General features: G+C 48.2%; 1 protein-coding gene, 1 long non-coding RNA gene and 1 pseudogene across 4 annotated transcripts, besides 1 other annotated feature; 2 read left to right on the forward strand and 1 right to left on the reverse strand.

Moving 5' to 3' along the window:
* On the reverse strand, positions 1389-17086 carry LOC124904583 (uncharacterized). The gene is made up of 3 exons (XM_047439549.1): positions 16976-17086; positions 16580-16690; positions 1389-2710 (listed from the first exon to the last, which is right to left on the reverse strand). Exons 1-3 carry the CDS (start codon positions 17084-17086, stop codon positions 2186-2188), a joined length of 747 nt encoding a protein of 248 aa, XP_047295505.1. The 3' UTR covers positions 1389-2185.
* Positions 1972-2201: a silencer, noted in NCBI's record as "silent region_1707". NCBI's record gives its function as "represses an Ori minimal core promoter by ATAC-STARR-seq in GM12878 lymphoblastoid cells {active_cell/tissue: GM12878}" and the evidence as "EXISTENCE:reporter gene assay evidence [ECO:0000049][PMID:35858748]".
* PCAT6 (prostate cancer associated transcript 6) lies at positions 2105-3063 on the forward strand. Of its 2 annotated transcripts, none has more exons than NR_046325.2 (2): positions 2105-2521; positions 2726-3063. It is a non-coding gene; the product is annotated as a prostate cancer associated transcript 6 (long non-coding RNA). The 2 variants fall into 2 exon arrangements; NR_046326.2 differs by having other exon boundaries at positions 2840-3063.
* On the forward strand, positions 11408-18376 carry MGAT4EP (MGAT4 family member E, pseudogene; annotated as a pseudogene). Its single transcript, NR_038135.2, has 3 exons — positions 11408-11536; positions 14408-15057; positions 16337-18376. The product of NR_038135.2 is annotated as an MGAT4 family member E, pseudogene (transcript).
* Positions 18377-18897: the final 521 nt, after the last annotated feature.

Genomic DNA, 18897 nt, shown 5'->3' on the forward strand with positions numbered 1-18897 from the left:
CATGAGAAGGCAATAGTAGTAATAATAATAATAACGTAACATTTTGGGGCACTTTCATATCCTAGGCACTGTTCTAATTGCATCGCATGATTAATCACACAACCCTATGAGATAGGTACTCTTATTTCCACTTTACAATAAGGAAAGTGAGGCATAGGTAGGTTAAGCAATTTGCCATAATTCACATGGCTAATAAGTGATGGAGACTATTGGGAGGTGGAGATGTTGCAGGGAAAATAATCATCCACAAACAGTCTATGACGAGGTCAGACTTGAGAGGGGCGAAAGACTTGAAATAATCCAGACAAGGAATGATAGGATCTAAATTAAGGCAGTGGTGCTGATAATTATGAGGAAGGGATGCAAAGGTAGGAAATAAAATTAGGACATAGTGACAGATTGAGGGGGGACGACGAGGTATTAAGATTCAGATGTCTGGCGTACCTGCCTGAGTAGATGCTAGCCCGTTGGCATTGCTGGAACATTCACCCCAATTATATACAGAAGGCGAGTTACTCAAGGGAAGAAGATACTGTGTTCATTTCTGGACATTTTGAATTTGAGGTGTCTCTGGTACATACAGGTAGAAATACACAACGGGGTATCCTTCAACAGACTGAAGGGTATAAATCTGAAGGGGCGAGATCAGAATTGGAGATATAAATCTGGGAGTTATGTGCTTATGGGTGATAGCCGCTATTTAATGCTACTGTGTGTAAAGCACTGCTCTAAACGCTCTGCATGTATTAGCTCACTGAGTCTTCACAACCACCATATTGAGTAGGTACGATATTATCCTCATTTTGCAGAGCAGGCAACGGAGGCAAAGAGGTTAACGAACTTTAAGAGATACGAACACTTTTGAGGCGCCTTTTTTCTTTTGGCGGGAGACGGGGGACGGGGGTGGGGGGGTAGTGTCCAGCAGCCTCAGAAAAAAGGAGGAAGCTCAAAAAGTAGAACGTCAACATTGAAATGACCTCTTTCATCCAGAAAGCTGCCAAACGTATGCAAGGAATGTTTGTCAAGATCTTAGTTCGCTTTCAGATTCACCTAGTGGAAGGAAATCTCTTATGCTTAAGAAGTCTTCAATTAAAAGGGGGGATGGGCGTGGGGGGAGAAGAAAACCGCCTTCCCTTCAACAAATTTTTCCCAGAGGTACCGGGCCCAGGAAAGAGTTCACAGTGGTCCTGGGAGAACGTATTCCTTTTCTTAGCTCTCCAGGGCTTTGGGACCTGGAGTCTTTTCCTGCTCCCTACTGCAATGGAGAGTCAAGCCCAGGGGACAGCTAATACACTATTAAAAGAATTATCAGTGCAAGATAGATATGCGATGTGGCAAGTTATAATAGAATCTAGGTAGTGGGTATAGAGGAATTTGATGCAAATTTCTTTTAACTTTACTGAATATTTAATAATACTAAATAAAAGTTGGGTAGAAGAATTATCGTCGATGGCTCTTTGGTGCGCATTCTGGGCCTCCGAGGGTCTTGATGAAGCTCATGTAGTGTCATGTGCTCTCTCGGGAGAGCGTTGACTATTTTCACTCCTAACGTTGGCATCCTACGAGCCAGGTAGGCATAACTTTGAGACAAATTCTAGACTTACATGAGTTATGATTATTATTTAACTGAGATGGACAGGAAGAACAAGCCTAAGAAAATCTTTCCCAATTCTCAGCTGCGTCCTACGATTCCCTCTCGCTCCCAACTCTCAAGGTCTCCCAGTCCGGCTTCCTCCATTTCCGGTAGTGACCCTAAGTGATGAGATTCTATCGCTCCCAGATCAGGCCGCAGCTGTTTGGCTCCCAGCAGACCCGGTGTGACGTTAAGGGACGGGGCGGTTGCCGGCGTCTTGAGGGGAACCTAGGGACCGAGAGGACTCTCCGGGAAGGCAGCCGCTCCCCCGCCCACAACAGACGCTCCCCTTGCCCTTTATGATGTTTACATGGGCGGAGGGATCCCTCCCAGCTGACAGCCACACCGCGCCGGCCCTTCTTTTTTTAAAGAGCCTAGCCACGGGCGCTGACTGGCCGGCAGCCGGGCGCGTCATCCTCCGGGGGCGGGGCCCGGGCCGCATTGTCTCGTCTAGGGCCGGCTGGACGCCCCAGAGGCCGGACCTGGGCAACCCCAGCCTGGAGGTGCCGGGGCCGGAGCTCCCAGAGGGCTGGGTGCGAGGCCTAGGCGGGGTCAGGTTCGGGTTCCTAGGCCATAGCGGAGCTGCAGCCCAGGCGGCCGGAGCGGAACCCAGCCCCGCTCCGAGTGCCACGTCTCCAGGAACCCCCTCCTTACTCTTGGACAACACTCCGCCCCCGCCCGGGCCTCCGTCCCCCAAACCGCCCTCATTTGTGCAGCGCCAGATCCTTCGGACACATCCCTAGGTGTCTCCATCCTCATTCGGTCCATCCAACTCCCAGACCTCACGTCAACCGGCTGCACCCCACTTTCCAGCCTGCGCCCCAGATCTGCAGCCTTCGCCCCTAGATACACCCGCCTGGTGATGAGGCGCTCCTCGCGTTCCTTCCGGTAACCGCGTTGCGAAGACCACGCTGCCGGGTTGCAAACTTGGGGGGACTTCCTCCCTCCCCTCCCCCTGGGCGCCGTGCAACTGCCCTGGGACCGGGTTCTGGGATGAGGGGGGCAGACCGGGCTCCCCAGCGGCCGGCGCAGCACGTAGCGCACGTGTAGGGTCCGCTCCCCACCCCCTCGCCGCCTCTGACAACTTTTCAGGGCTCCAGGTGTCCGTGAGCCTCCCTTCCGCCCTGGCCTCCGGTCTCTGCCTTGCTCGTGCTTCTACCACCACCCTTCCCCTCCCAACCCGGTGGATCCTCTCGTCTCCCCCAGTCTCCAGTGCACCGGCTTTCCCTCGTCCTCTGCGCAGTCCATCTCAGCTCATCTCTCCAATTCAATGCCATCATCTCTCCTCACCATCTCTCGGTGCCCTGGAATGTTTGCTGTCAGATGTCCCCTGTGAAACCCACAAACGCTTGCGATTTGGCCTCCTTGTTTTATTTTGTGTAGTCCTACAACGTCTTGTTACTACCCCCTATTACAACACTTATAACTCAGTATTTGTCTTTTTTCCGCGGTGTCCCTGCACTCTCCCCATACATATTCCTCTCCTGCCAGATTGTAAGCCTCTAGAGGGAAGAAGTAATGTCTCTCTCCTTGGCACCAGGCACGTGGCACACGCTCCACAAATATTTGTTGAAAGGGAGGGTAAATGGCCTTGAGTTTCTGTGGCTACCATTGGCTGAGGATGGAGCTTTGGGCTGGACAAAGAAGAATCTGGTTGACCACATGAAGCAGGAAGGAGGCTCAGAACGGTGTTGAGGGAGCCTCCACAATGGGTGGGCACCACAGGTGAGATAAACCCATCCTCCCCCATTCCCTGCCCTGCTTAATTCCCGGGAACCAGCAACCCCTCCTATGCTATCGTCTACTGCTGAGCTGGTCCCTTATGGTGGACTTCTGTGCTCACTGTTCTGCTTTAGCCCCAGCTGTCGGGGCTGCCCTTGGGGAACAGCTTACACCTTGACCAGGCGCTCATTTCTGGGTTTCTGTTCTTGGGAAGCTGGGTCTGGGTCCTGGGAGCCACCTGGTAACTAATAAATACCTCTTCCTCCTCCCATCTGCTCTTCCTCTCCTGTCCTGGAATCCCTCTCTGATGACTCAGCCCAACTGAGATCCAGGGTAACTGCACCCTCAGTCCTGGGCTTTGGTTTACCTGGGTGTGGGGCTCAAAGGGCTAGACCCTTGTGGGGGTCAGGCGCTGACAAGTGGAACATTCCCACGGTGCTGCCAGCCCTGCCCACGGGGATTGGGAGGGGCAAAGTTAGCCACACCAGGGCTTCAGGGCGTGTTTCTTCCCATTCCAGTTGGGCAACTTGAGAAGCCCTGGACTCCCAAGGAGCAATCCTGTGAGCTGCTTAGAGAAGCTGTGAGGATTAGAGGGAAACTCATGTTCCCTGTTCATCCCGCAGTGGCACCACCAGCACCCCTAATTTGGGTCTCTGGGCTGAGGGGCCCCTGGCAGCATGCTCAATGGCCTTGGATAGCTGGAATGTTTGGAATTGCCTGCATCTTGGATGAAAGTCTTAACAATAGAATGAAAACTGCTGCAACACTGTGTCAGCACTTTACAGACCACCACTGTAAATTCCCAGTTGAAACTGGGAATTTGGAATTCCATGTTCAACCAAATCATGCTGAGTGCCCAGCACAGCGTCTGACACACTAAATGCTACAGGTGAATTCCCTTTTTCCTCTTTCCTGGCAGGAAGCGGGGATAGGGGAACCACTAGAAATACTGTAATAACATGAATAAGACAAGGCCATTAGCCGGGAGCAAATCATAGAACATCAGCCCTGTGAAATGAGTGGTATTAGTGTTACCATTTTTCAGATGGAGAAATTGAGACTCAGAAAGGTTAATTAGCCAAAAATCACACAGACAGTAATAGCAGAGCTAGGAAAAGAATGTTCATCCTAGTACCTAACTTTGATCTTCCCAAAACACCAAACTGACTTCTAAAGCTGAAGAAAGAGGACACAGAAGCTTCATCTCAGATCTCACCACCAGCTGCCCCTTAATCTGCCAACATCGAACCATTCTCTCCCCTCTAGACTACAGTGGCTTCAAACTTTGACTTATCTCCAGTATTTTTTTGTACATAGCAATAGCAACAAAAGTTTCACAAAACAATATTACCTTTGTATGGCCAGGCACGGTGGCTCATGCCTGTAATCCCAACATTTTGGGAGGCCAAGGCGGGCAGATCATGAGGTCAGGAGATCAAGACCATCCTGGCCAACATGGTGAAACCCCGTCTCTACTAAAAATACAAAAATTAGCCTGGTGTGGTGGCGTGTGCCTGTAGTCCCAGTTACCCAGGAGGCTGAGGCAGGAGAATTGCTTGAACCCAGGAGGCAGAGCTGCAGTGAGCTGAGATCGCACCACTGCATTCCAACCTGGGCGACAGAGCAAGACTCCGTCTCCAAAAGAAAAAAAATAGCCACGTGTGGTGGCACACACCTGTGGTTCTAGCTACTTGGGAGGCTGAGGTGGGAGGATCCCTTGAGCCCAGGAGTTTGAGGCTGCAGTGAGCTATGATTGTGCCACTGCACTCCAGCCTGGGTGACAAAGCAAGACCCTGTCTCTAAAAAGTAACAATAATCGGCCGGCACGGTGGCTCATGCCTGTAATCCCAGCACTTTGGGAGGCCGAGGCAGGCAGATCACAAGATCAGGAGATTGAGACCATCCTGGCTCACACAGTGAAACCCCGTCTCTACTAAAAATACAAAAAATTAGCCAGCCATGGTGGCCAGTGCCTGTAGTCCCACCTGCTGCGGAGGCTGAGGCAGGAGAATGGCATGAACCCGGGAGGCGAATCTCGCAGTGAGCCGAGATTGCGCCACTGCACTCCAGCCTGGGTGACAGAGAGAGACTCTGTCTCAAAAATAAAATAAAATAATTTAAAAAAAAACAATAATCTTAATTTCAGTCACTCCCTCTATATTCCCCATGAACAATGGAATTTTCCCAGAATATCGTCTACATCATATACAAAATCAATAATTATATCTTTTCTCTTCCATTTATTTTTCACCATTTATTTTATTCACTGGTCTGTATTTATTTATTTATTTATTTTTGAGACAGAGTCTCCCTCTGTCACCCAGGCTGGAGTGCAGTGGCGCGATCTCACTGCAACCTCTACTTCTTGGGTTCAAGAGATCCTCCTGCATCAGCCTCCCGAGTAGCTGGGACTACAGGCACAGGCCAAAACGCCCGGCTAATTTTTGTATTTTTAGTAGAGATGGGGTTTCACCATGTTGGCCAGTCTGGTCTTGAACTCCTGACCTCAGGTGATCTGCCTGACTCAGGTGATCTGCCTGACTCAGCCACCCAAAGTACTGGGATTACAGGTGTATAATCTGCCACCCTGCCTAGCCACATTTTCCTTCTATCTCTACCCACAGCCCTTCAACCCCAGGGATCACTTTGTGCCTTATCTTTATAGCACCCTATGCTAAACAGGTGCCACATCTAAGACCAAGAAATAGCATAGAGTCTTCGAACCTCTCAAGACCTGAGTGAAAGCAAGAGTTAAAAACTCAAATGCCTGTGTAGAAGCCAGACAGGTACATGGGGGAGGTGAACAAAGTGAAGTCTGTGGAGAGGTGAGAATGCAAGTCCAGCTACTGGGGGCCATCACTGCTCAGACCAGGGTTGCACCACGTTTCCATTTTTCAAGAGAAGCCAGTTATTTAGGCTTTTATATAAAAGCTCTCCCAGTTTTTGTTTGTTTGTTTGATTTTTGTTTGAGACAGAGTCTCCTTCTGTCACCCAGACTGGATTGCAGTGGCATGATCTCATCTCACTATAAACTCCACCTTCCGGGCTCAAACAATTCTCCTGCCTTGTCTTTCCAAGCAGATGGGATTACAGGCATGTGCTACCACGCCTGACTAATTTTTCATTTTTAGTAGAGACAGGGTTTTGCCATGTCGACCAGGCTGGTCTCAAACTCTTGGCCTCAAGTGATCCGACCACCTCGGCCTCCCGAAGTGCTGGGATTACAGGCGTGAGCCACGCCTGTTCAGCTCTCCTAATTCTTTTTTTTTTTCCCCCCTGGCTGGAGTGCAGTGACACGATCTCAGCTCACTGCGACCTCTGCCTCCCAGATTCAAGCTATTCTCCTGCCTCAGCCTCCCAAGTAACTGGGACTACAGGCACGTGCCACCGCACCCAGCTAATTTTTTATATTTTTATTAGAGACAGTGTTTCACCATATTGGTCAGGCTGGTCTCAAACTCCTGACCTCATGATCCACCCACCTCGGCCTCCCAAAGTGCTGGGATTACAGGCGTGAGCCACTGCACCCAGCCTCCAATTCTTAAATGTTCAATCTTTCATCAGATTTTTAAGAAACAGTGTGTGGGCCAATTACACATGCCTGTGGCCACGCCCCTTCTCCACCTGCCAGAAGAGACTAGTGGGATGATGAGATTCTTGCCCTTCAGAAAAAACAATGGTTGCCAAGGGAGCATTAGCTACGGTACCCAGAGATAAATGCTGGAATGGAGGTGAGCTCCTGGCCCATCCCTACCCTATGGGTCTAGCTCATGCTCTTAGGCTTAAAGGAGAACTCTGGCTTCCAGCAAAGTGCAGAGCCCACTCCTGGAACACACACTGGCAACAGGCACACTGTCATGGATGGCCACCCCTAACTGCAATGTGGATGAGGAACCTGGGTGGGGTGTCAGGGCTTTTTAATATTTATTTCTCCTTCTCTATTTTTTGCCTCCTCTAAATCCCTTAGAAAAGTGGGAATCAGATGGCAAGATACAGAAAGGTTCTCAGAGTGTTGTGCATCTGTGTGAAAATCTAAAAGAAAAAAAACTGGGATGAGGATTTAGGAATAAGGGAAGATGGACCTCTCAGGTATAATGGGAAAGCAAGCAGTGCTGGTCTCCATGGTTGAAGATGGTAATCATTCCTTACAGAAACAGCTAACATTTATTGAGTGCTTGCTATAAGCCAAGAATGTTTATGTGGATACTCTCTTTTTTCTGTTTTTAAAAATAATAACTATTTATATAGGATGATCTCTTTTGATCCTCGTAAGAACTCTTGAAAGTAGCCATCATTTATTTTTATTTTTATTTATTTTTTGTTAGCCCAGCCCTGTCCTGGGTAGCCATCGTTTTTATCTCCATTTTATAGATGAGGAACTGGGGTTCAGAGAGGCTGTCATTTGGCCAAGGTCACATGGACAATAAGTCTTGCAGAACCAGATTCCAGCTCTGGCTGTCTGAGTCCCGAATCTGAGCGCTTAACCATCACCCATATACTGCCCTTCTCTGGAGTACTGCCCAGTCCCCCTGACTGACACCGCTGTGCCCCTAGCACCTAGCATAGTGTTTGTTGAAGAAAGATGACCATTCACCATTATCATGTAGTCCCTATAATTGGCAAGTTAATAAATACTTGTTTAGCATGTTCTCTGGATCAGGTTTTATGCAGAGTGCTATGGATACAGCACTGAATCAAACAAAGTCCCTGCCCTTTAAGGGCTTATATTCTAATCTAGTGGATGGAGACAGACAATAAACACACACACAAAGAAGTAAGTTAGCTTCTGGTAGAAATAAATGCTGAGAGGCCAAGCGCAGTGGTTCGCGCCTGTAATTCCAGCACTTTGGGAGGCCAAGGCGGGCGGATCACTTGAGGTCAGGAGTTCGAGACCAGCCCAGCCAACATGGCAAAACCCTGTCTCTACTAAAAATACACAAATTAGCCAGGTGTGGTGGCGCATGCCTGTAATCCCAGCTACTCAGAAGGCTGGGGCAGGAGAATCTCTTGAACCCTGGAGGCAGAGGTTGCAGTGAGCCAAGATCGTGCCATTGCACTCCAGCCTGGGCAACAGAGTGAGGCTCTGTCTCAAAAACAAAACAAAACAATGAAATAAATGATGAGAAAAACAGAATACATGATAAAACTACTGGGAGGCTGGAATGGGAGGGGTGGCAAGCGCTGTTAGCCACAGTGATCCAAGGCAGCAAAGAGAACATCAGAGCTCAGATCTGAATGTTAGGAAGAAAGCAGCTATTGGAAAATCTATAGTAGAGAGTTCTAAGAAGAACATTGAATGTCATGAAGATATTGTAAAATTAAAAAAAAAATAGAAAAAAATTTTAAAGAGGAACAGCATGTGCAAAGACCCTGAGTCACGAAACAGCTTGGTATGTCCGATGGACATACCAAGAAAAACAAAAGAAAAAGAAAGTCCCTGAGGCTGGAGAGTGGGGAGGGAGATGAGGTCAAAGCAGCAGGCAAAATGCTAGATCAGGGGGGCGTGGTGGCTTACGCCTGTAATCCCAGCACTTTGGGAGGCTGAGGCGGATGGGTCACTTGAGGTCAAGAGTTCGAGACCAGCCTGGCTAACATGGCTAAACCCCGTTTCTACTAAAAATACAAAAATTAGCCGGGTGCGGTGGCAGGGGCCTGTAATCCCAGCTACCCAGGAGACTGAGACAGAAGAATCACTTGAATCCAGGAGGCTGGAGGTTGCAGTGAGCTGAGATCGCACCACTGCGCTCCAGGCTGGGCGACAGAGTGAGACTCTGTCTCAAAAAACAAACAAACAGCGGCCGGGAGCGATGGCTCACGCCTGTAATTCCAGCACTTTGGGAGGCCGAGGTGGGCAGATCACAAGGTCAGGAAATCGAGACCACCCTGACTAACACAGTGAAACCCCGTCTCTACTAAAAATACAAAAAAATTAGCCGGGAGTGGTGGCGGGCACCTGTAGTCCCAGCTACTCAGGAGGCTGAGGCAGGAGAATGGCATGAACCCGGGAGGCAGAGCTTGCAGTGAGCGGAGATCATGCCACTGCACTCCAGCCTGGGCGACAGAGCGAGACTCTGTCTCAAAAAAAAAAAAAAAAAAAAGCAACAACAAAAAACAGCAACAAAAAAACCAAACACTAGATCAGGTGAAAGCCTGCACACCATGGGTAGGAATTTGGGTTTCATCTTATTTGCAGTGGGAAGGCACTGGGGAATTGTAGGCAGGGAGTGGGTATCACTTGATTTACAATTTGAAAAGGTCTGTCTGACTGCCATGTGGACAACAGATTGCAGAAGAATCAAGGTAGAGGTGAGAGATCAATTAGGAGGTGGTTGCAGTAGTTCAGAAGATGATTTTGAAAAGTGGTCATATTCTGGGTAAATTTTGGAGGAAAAGGTAGCAGGATTAAATAGACTGTGGAGTATTAAGGAGAAAGAAGGCTGGGTGTGGTGGCTCACACCTATAATTCCAGCACTTTGGGGGCCAAGGCAGGAGGATCACTTGAGGCCAGGAGTTCAAGACAAGCCTGTCCAACATAGCGAGACCCTGTCTCTATATAAAAATCAAGAGTAAAAGAAAAAACAAGGAGAGAGGCACCAAGTATAACTCCCTGATTTTTTTTTTTTCTCTAACTGGGTGAGTGGTGGTGCTGTATACTGGGGTAGAAAAAGCTTGGGGAGGAAATGATTTGGGAGGTAGGAGGAATCTGTAGTCTTATTTTGGTTCTGTTAAAGTTGAGATATCTTATCATCCAATGGAAGATGTTGAATAGTCAGGTAATCTGGAGCTCAGGATAGGGATCAAGATAAGAGTCAGGGCTAGAGATAAGATTTGGGAGTTACCTGATAACATACATACACACATTCATGTATATGTGTGTGTGTGTGTGTGTGTGTGTGTATCTATATTACAGCCATGGGACTCGGATAAAATCACCCAGGGAAACTGTGTAGGAAGAGAAGAGAGCCCTATGTGACTGCTACATATACAAGGTGGGAAGAGAGTGAGCCAAGAAAGGAAACTGAGAGGGACCAATCAGCGTGGCAAGAGAGATGCCAGAGCAGAAAGTCTTTTTTTTTTTTTGAGACGGAGTCTCGATCTGTCACCCAGGCTGGAGTGCAGTGGTGCAATCTCGGCTCACTGCAACTTCCACTTCCCAGGTTTAAGCGATGCTACAGTAGCTGGGACTACAGGCGCGCACCACTGCGCCCAGCTAATTTTTGTTTTTTTTTTTGAGACGAGGTTTCACCATGTTGGCCAGGCTGCTCTGAAACTCCTGACCTCGTGATCTGCCTGCCTCGGCCTCCCAAAGTGCTGGGATTACAGGTGTGAGCCGCCGCACCAGGCTGCACCCCCAGAAAGTCTTTCAAGGAGGCAGTAGCGGTCAACTGAGTCAAAGTTGCAGAAAGGTTGAGTAAGATAAGAAGGGAGAATGTGAAATGAAGCGAGGCTAATTAACAAAGACAACACTTTCAAGGGGCTTTGCTGTGTGCAGTTGTAGAAAAATGGCACAGAACTGGAAAAGAACACGAATTCAGGGAGGCATTTTGCTTTTTGCCTTCTTCCTGCTGGAAGATAATAAACCTCCTTTTCCTAGTGATGAGAATCGTCCAGTAGAAAGGGAGAAGTGGATCACGCAGAAGAGAAAGGAAGTGGATCATGCAGAAGAGAAAGAGGATAACTGCAGGGGTGAAGAACTTGGGAAGGCGAGAGGGAGTAGGAGTCCGAGCCTAAGCGTCAGTGGAACCAACAGGAGGGAAGGAGAGAATGTAGGAGATACATAAGGAAGTAGGGGACACGGTGCGGGTGGGGAGGTGAGTGCTCAGTATCTAAAAAGATACTGATGCTGGTCTTTAGGGTGAATGCGAAGTCATAGCTCCCAATGATGAAGCACAAACAGGTCACATGTAAGTCCTGCATGTGCATTCCTCTGACAATGGGGAGTAGGTGGCTAGGACACAACAGTAACATCACAGAGGGAGCTTAGCTCAAGGATAGAAAACTGGGGAGACCTTTGTTTGCTGTGCCTGGCCTCACCCTCTGTTCATTACTCCTAGAGTGACTGGTCCTTATCACCCCAGCTCCTTTTTGTTTTTCTGTCTCCTGCCTTTTCCAGAAGTCTGTTGAACTCAAAGGGCTGAATGACAGCAGTCTTCCCTCCGTGACTGGGAAACTACACGGGAGGTACCAAAGGGGAACAGAGCTATGCCTGTGGTGGTGAAACCCTTTAACTGCAATTAGAGCCTTATTCCCTGCCTAAAGCCTTTTTTTTTTTTTGAGAGAGAGAGACAGAGAGGGTCTCACTCTCCCCTAGGTTGGATGGAGTGCAGTGGCACAATCTCAGCTCACTGCAGCCTCGACCTACTAGGCTAAGGCGATCCTCCCACCTCAGCCTCCCGAGTAGCTGGGACTTCAGGCATGTGCCACTACACCTGGCTAATTTTACTTTTTGTAGAGACGGGGTCTCACTATGTTGCCCAGGCTGGTCTCCAACTCCTGGCCTCAAGTGATCCTCCTGCTTTGGCCTCCTGAAATGCTGGGATTGAAGGCCTGAGTGCCCACACACTTTCACTGGGTGATCTTTATCCAAGTCCCACCTCGCCTGGCCCAAAAGCCCCCACCCCTTTTTTTTTTCCCCTGAGGTGGAGTCTTGCTCTGTTGCCCAGGCTGGAGTACAGTAACACAATCTCGGCTCACTGCAACCTCCGCCTCCCAGGTTCAAGTGATTCTCCTGCCTCAGCCTCCTGAATAGCTGGGATTACAGGCACATGCCACCATGCCTGGCTAATTCTTGTATTTTTAGTAGAGAAGGGGTTTCGTGATGTTGGCCAGGCTGGTCTCGAACTCCTGACCTCAGGTGATCCACCTGCCTCGCCTTCCCAAAGTGCTGGGATTACAGGCGTAAGCTACCATGCCCAGCGGTGTATACACACACACACACACACACACACACACACACACGCACACATTTATGGTCTAGAGAAGAGAGGCCTATTTCTTTTACATGAAGAGGTTTGTATGTGAATCACCTATGGGACTAAAAGTCTTTCCTAAAGGAAGCCAAGTAAGAAAAGTTTAATCTGTAAAGCCTTACTACTATAAGATTTTTTTTTCCTCATCACTGTGATTACCTGGAGATATAAGTATTATTGTTATTATTTGTTTTTCTTAAACAGAGGTGGAGCTCTCCCTGTGTTGCCCAGGCTGGTCTCAGTACTACTGGGCTCAAGCAATCCTCCTGCCTCAGCCTCCCAAAGAGCTGGGATTCCAGACGTGAGCCACTGTGCCCAGCCTACTTTTATAACTCATCAAAAAGCGAAGTGGCTAAGGGAGAAAAGCATGTTAACCTCTACCAAAATACTAAACTGGAAGGCATCCCTGGAATGGGGAAGATTAGAGAACAGTATGGCCTCAGGAGCACAGAAATCACTGACTACAGCTTTTCTTTTGTGTACTGATCACACAGGGAAAGAATCAAGAAGGGGTGAGAAGGCATGTTAAAGCCTTTCCTCTGATAATCTTGAAGCAATCAGAGAAACACATCTCACTAGAGAAAAAACACTCACAGAGGAAGAGAGCAGCATACAAGCACTTCTGAGGCTGAGCCAGCCTGAATTCCAATAACCCAACATGCAGGAAAGGATTTTTTTTTTTTTACTCTAAGTTAACAGAATCATGTTCTAATCAAGGTCTGTGAATAAATTAAGGATACTCTTTATGAAAAAAAGTGAAAGACACCAATTTGGCATGGCATTTGGCAACACTTCAGGTTTAGTTGTTTTAATAGTTTGATTTGGTTTTTAAAAATGTGGGAGGCAGGGTGTGGTGGCTCACGCCGGTAATCCCAGCACTTTCAGAGGCTGATACAGGAAGATCACGTGACCCCAGGCATTCAAGATGACCCTGGGCAACACAGGGAGAGCCTATCTCTACAAAAAAAAATTTTTTTTTTTAATTAGCTGGGTGTGGTGGTGTGCGTCTGTCATCCCCGCTACTTGGGAGGCTGAGGTGGGAGGATCGTTTGAGCCCGAAAGGTCAAGGCTGCTGTGAGCCATGATCACGCCACTGCACTCCAGTCTCAGCAACAGAGCGAGGCCTTGTCTCAAAAAATAAAGTAAAAAAGCAGGGGTAAGGAAAGTACAATGGCCATCTGTTTACTCAGATAAATTGACTGTATCAGCCAGGCACGGTGGCTCACGTCTGTAAACCCAGCACTTTGGGAGGCCGAGGCGGGCGGATCATGAGGTCAGGAGATCGAGACCATCCTGGCTAACAAGGTGAAACTCCGTCTCTACTGAAAATACAAAAATTAGCCAGGCATGGTGGTGGGCACCTGTAGTCCCAGCTACTCGGGAGGCTGAGGCAGGAGAATGGCGTGAACCCGGGAGGTGGAGCTTGCAGTGAGCTGATGCTGTGCCACAGCACTCCAGCCTGGGCAACAGAGTGAGATTCCGTCTCAAAAAAAAAAAATTGACTGTATCACTAAAGCTTCAGCCAACCTTCATCATTTTGAGTAGGGGAGACTTTGGGGAAGTTGAATCTCCAAGCATATGAAGTGAATGCAACAAATATCATCACGGGACATGTGATCTTCCTTCTTTAGCAGGGAATAAGGCTCTATTGTATCAGGTTCCTAGATTAGATAAAAGGGTGTGCTTGGATGGCAGGCACAGTGGTTCATGCCTGTAATCCCAGCACTTTGGGAGGCTGAGGCGGGCAGATCACTTGAGGTCAGGAGTTCGAGACCAGCCTGGCCAACATGGTAAAACCCCGTCTCTACTAAAAATACAAAAATTAGCCAGGCGCAGTGGTGCGTGCCTGTAATCCCAGCTACTCGGGAGGCTGAGGCGGGAGAATCGCTTGAACCCAGGAGGCGGAGGTCATAGGGAACTGAGATCTTGGAAATAAGTTAACAATGAGGAAAGATAGAATATGGGGGCAGACATGGGGTGGTTAATACAAGTGGAGAAGCCTTCCAGAGGGCAGAAGGGAAGTTCTAGGCATGGACTGGAGGGAGAGAGTCCTCCAGCTGTACACGTTGACTTCTTGCTATAGGAACCGTATCCTGACGCAGACGCGATGCGGTGTTCCATCAGGAAATGCTTCATACTCTCAGTGGGCATCGTATTCCTGTGGCCCTTCATCACTTTGAAAATCCCCAAGGAAACTGAAGATGATCAAAATGTGATGACTGTCAAAGGCCAAGTAGCAAGCCTTGAGCCTTGCTCAGTTTGGGAACTGGGAATATAGGGTGGAAATGGTGTGGACAGGCAGATTCTGGAAAGCCCCTGGGCTTTCTTCCTTCCTGACCTTTTCACCTGAGAGCAGGAAGCTCCAAAGGGAATGGGGGTATGGACCTGGGCCTATTAGTCCATGAAGAAGCTGTATTTATTTTCCTTATTCGTTAAGGTAAAGAAGACAGCAAATACTGCTTGAGCCCTGGATATTTTAGCCAATGGCCAGGCATCCTGAGAATGTGCCAGGCTCACTCTAGGGAGAATGGTTCACTCCACCTCTTTCCCTAGAAAAGCTTATGGGAAGCCACTGGGGTGTAAAATTTGTTCTTTTTATGAAAGGATATATATGTTTGCCCTTGTCAATGCCCCCGGAGGCCAGTTATAACAGCCGGAAGGACCCAAGATCACTAGAAGACTGGCAGAACCTCACCTTCAAATATATGGAAAAAATCCAGAAGAGAAGAAAGAGTGAGTACCAACAAGAAGGAGGAATTCAGCATCCCAGGGGAAGTAGGGACAGCCAGAGAGATCAGGCAGATAGGAAGGAAAGCAGAAGAGGGAAGGAGAAAAACAGACTGTGCCCAGGAATATTAGAATCCGGCAGACAATGGCCAAGTGTGGTGGCTCATGCCTGTAATCCCAGCACTTTGGGAGGCCTAGGTGGGTGGATCACGAAGTCAGGAGTTCGAGACCAGCCTGGCCAAGATGGTGAAATCCCATCTCTACTAAAAATACAAAAATTAGCTGGGCACAGTGGGGGACATCTGTAATCCCAGCTACTCAGGAAGCTGAGGCAGGAGAATCGCTTGAACCTGGGAGGCGGTGGTAGCAGTAAGCCAAGATCGCACCATTGCACTCCAGCCTGGGCAACAGAGTGAGACTCCTTCTCAAAAAAAAAAAAAAAAAAGAATCTGGCAGTTAATTCTCTCCTCCTTCCCCAAGGCAAATATTTATATATCAGCAGTATGAGGAGGAAGGAGGAAAAAGATAAAGTTGGCTACTACTTTTCTTTTTTTCCCTTCTTGGCCAGTTACTAAAGTTAATTGCTATAAGAAGGTGGAATCACTAGATTAGAGAACATTTGGATCAGAAGGGGTCTTAGAGTCGCATAGTCCAACTCCCCCAGTTTATGGATCAGGAACTAAACTCAGGGCTGAAGGGACTTGCTCAAGATCACACAATCAGTGGCAGAACTGGGACAAAAACTCCAGGCTCCTGACTTCCAGGGGAAGTCCTTTTCCTAATATACCTCCTTCAAAGGGCAGCTTTGGGAAGACGACAACAATTGACAACAATATAATAATATAATTGACAACAATTATAACTATTATAATAGCTAACATTTATTGAGCCCCTAAACCATACGCCACAAAGTTCTAGGCTCAAAGAAGACTGAGCAGAACCCACAGACACTCAGCATCACCTAGCTTAGTACTTCTCAAACTTTACTGTGCATACAAGTTACCTGGTGATACTGTGAAAATGCAGCTTCTGATTAAATCTGAGATAGGGATCGAGATCCTGTATTTGAAATGAGCTTACAGAGCAGCCTGATGTTGCTGGACTAAGGACCACACTTCGAGCAGCAAGGATGTAAACATCCCCTCCACCAAGGGAAAAACAGGTGGGAAATAAGAGGGAGGAAGGAAGAGTGAAGGTCCCACATAGGATCCCAACCCCTAACCCTTCTGACAACCGTCACTATTACTGTGCACTGACAGTTGTCCCTATTTTTACCTCTCCTCAGCATGGCTGACAGTGGGGAATCTCATCAGTGCAGCAAGGGGATGGAAGCAGCCTCTTGTACACATTGGTCTCCCTGTTCCGTGTTTCTTCTAAGGCTGAGCAGAAACGTCTCACGGTGCTGGTCCACCTGGCAGATTCTGACCTCACCTGGCTCAGAGAAACTCTTGCCCATATTTCAAGCCTCTTCAGCCCACAGATCTTGAAAGGGCAGTTGCTACTGATCCATGCTTCATCCGATGCCTACCCCACTGTGGAGAGCATCAGGGATGAGGCCTTTCATGGCGAATTCTACTCCAAGCAGAACGTAGATCATGCCTTCCTCATGAGCTTTGCCACAAAGTTCTCTGATTACTTCCTGTTAATAGAGGACAATGTCTTTTTTGCCCCCAACTTTGTCACCCACATTCATTCAAGGGTGACCACCATGAAGTCCAACTCGTGGGTGCTAATGGAGTTCTCCAATATGGGCTTCCTTGGCAAACTCTTCCACAGCAGGGACCTCCCACTCCTGGCCCATTTCCTCCTTCTCTTCTACAAGGAGAAACCCCTTGACAGCCTGATTTCTCATTTCCATACGCTCCTGGTCCAGGAAAGCCCAATCCTCTGCAGACCTTTCCTATTCTACTGCAGGGTCTCCTACACTGCCTTTGATCACAAGCAGAAGGCCACAGCACTTCAGAAAAAGAATGCCGATGGTCCCAACAACCCGCCTGGAGCTGTCTTCACTGATATGCAGGTTTCCGATGTGCATTTCCCCTGGGAGGCCTACACTCTGGATGAGTCATTCTTTTGGACACACAACATTAGTATAGGAAACCACCTGACAGTGATTCTGAACCATCCAGCAAACCTGAGCAGGGTGCAAGTGATGACGGGCTCCATTGTGGAATGGGAGGTACGCCCTGGAGAAGGGGCAGGTGGAGCTGGGCTACCAACCTGAGGGGGTGCCGCAGCACTGCACCAGCTTCGCCTTGCTGGGACATCTTTCGGAGGGGCAGATGGATCAGAAGATACTTCTGAAAGGTATGGGGTACCACGTGAGCTGTGTGAGGCTGGTGGTGAAAGCTGGTCAGGCTGGGGGGCTCATGATCAGGCATATCTACCTCTGGGAGAAAAATGACAAATAGCAAGTGGATCAATGCTGAAGATAAATCAGTAGGGGGATGAAAAATTAAAATCTTAAAGCCACTTCATTCTAGTCTATATGAGTGACATAGGGGAGACACAATGGAATGAAGGGCAGACAGAGAAGACTATCAGTCTGTTGGTGCCGCCAAGATGTCAGGAGACTTGTTGCTTCCTTTCTATCCAAACAACTCTCATAGGATATCTTTTGCTGTGGCATATATAGCTTATCCGAATTTGGGGAGAGTTTTGGTCACTCCCAAAATATTTAGATACCTGGGATGCTGAGATCAGCCCAAATCAAGGTGTCCCTGTGTATACATGCGTGTGCATGTATGCACTTCTATGTTCACACGGAGGCAGAGGTGGGGATGAGGTATGTGGTCACAGGAGGGCAGGCAGGAAAATCACGGCTGAATCCCTAGAATTGACATCATAAAAAGCCATGAAAGGGACTCTCATTAGAAGTTAAAATCTCCGAAGTGCAGGAAAGTAGCAGATGGACAAATAGCAATAAAACGAATCCCTTAGCTCTATTATTGAAGCTGTTTCACAGTGCCAATCTAGTTCCCTCCTTTCCTCCCCAACAAACTTGGGCACAAATAGGTTTTAACTAGGCTGGGTATGGTGGCTCATGCCAGTAATTGCAGCCTCCCTTAGGAGGCTGAGGTGGGAGGATCTCTTGAGGCCAGCAGTTCAAGACCAACCTAGGCAACACGGCAAGACCCTGTCTCCACAAAAAATTAAAAAGTTAGCCAGGTTGTGGTGGCATGTGCCTGTGGTCCTAGCTACTCAGGAGGCTGAGGCAGGAGGATCACTTGAGCCCAGGAGGTTGAGGCTGCAGTGAGCCATGATTATGCCATTACACTCCAGCCTGGGCAACAGCGTAAGACCCTGTCTCCAAAAAAAAAAAAAAAAAGTTTGTAACTAAAGCTTCACTCATCAGCAATTCATTCCTTAACTCTGGTTTCTGTGTCCACACTGGCCTCTGCATCCACAATGCTACTGAAACTCTTCCCTATTTGTCATGACGAGAATAGTCAAAACCCAGTGACTTTTTCAGATCTCATTCTCCCTAACTTTCTGCAGCAATACACAGTTCTAATTATGTCTTCCTTCTCAAAATTGTCCTCTTCCTTTACTTCTGGGACTCATCAGATATTTATTGAGTGCCTACTACATGCCAGGCACAAAAAAAGCTCCTATCTGTGAAGAGGGTTTTTATGGGAGTAAGATATACACAGGTGTGTTAAGCATCACATTGAGGTTAAGTACAGGGTCCTTGGGAGCACAGAATTGCTGTTCCCAAAACATTCTTGAGGATTTAGGAAAGGCTTTCTGGAAGATGTAACATCTAAGCCTAGACCTGCCAGATCATTAGAGAAAATAGCCAAGTGATATGGGAAGAGAGGCAGGGAGACTTTCCAGTAGAAGAAG

This window comes from Homo sapiens, chromosome 1 (genome assembly GCF_000001405.40).
Source record: "Homo sapiens chromosome 1, GRCh38.p14 Primary Assembly".
NCBI classification, from domain to species: Eukaryota; Metazoa; Chordata; class Mammalia; order Primates; family Hominidae; genus Homo; species Homo sapiens.

Excerpts from the sequence above, each read along its gene's own strand:
- LOC124904583 (XM_047439549.1), bottom strand. The coding sequence starts at position 17,086 with ATGCACATCGGAAACCTGCATATCAGTGAAGACAGCTCCAGGCGGGTT. Across the intron at positions 16,691-16,975 it reads TGCTTGTGATCAAAGGCAGT|GAAGTAATCAGAGAACTTTG; the intron begins GTAGGAGACCCT and ends CTCTATTAACAG. Across the intron at positions 2,711-16,579 it reads CTGATGCTCTCCACAGTGGG|AGGCGGCGAGGGGGTGGGGA; the intron begins GTAGGCATCGGA and ends AAAAGTTGTCAG.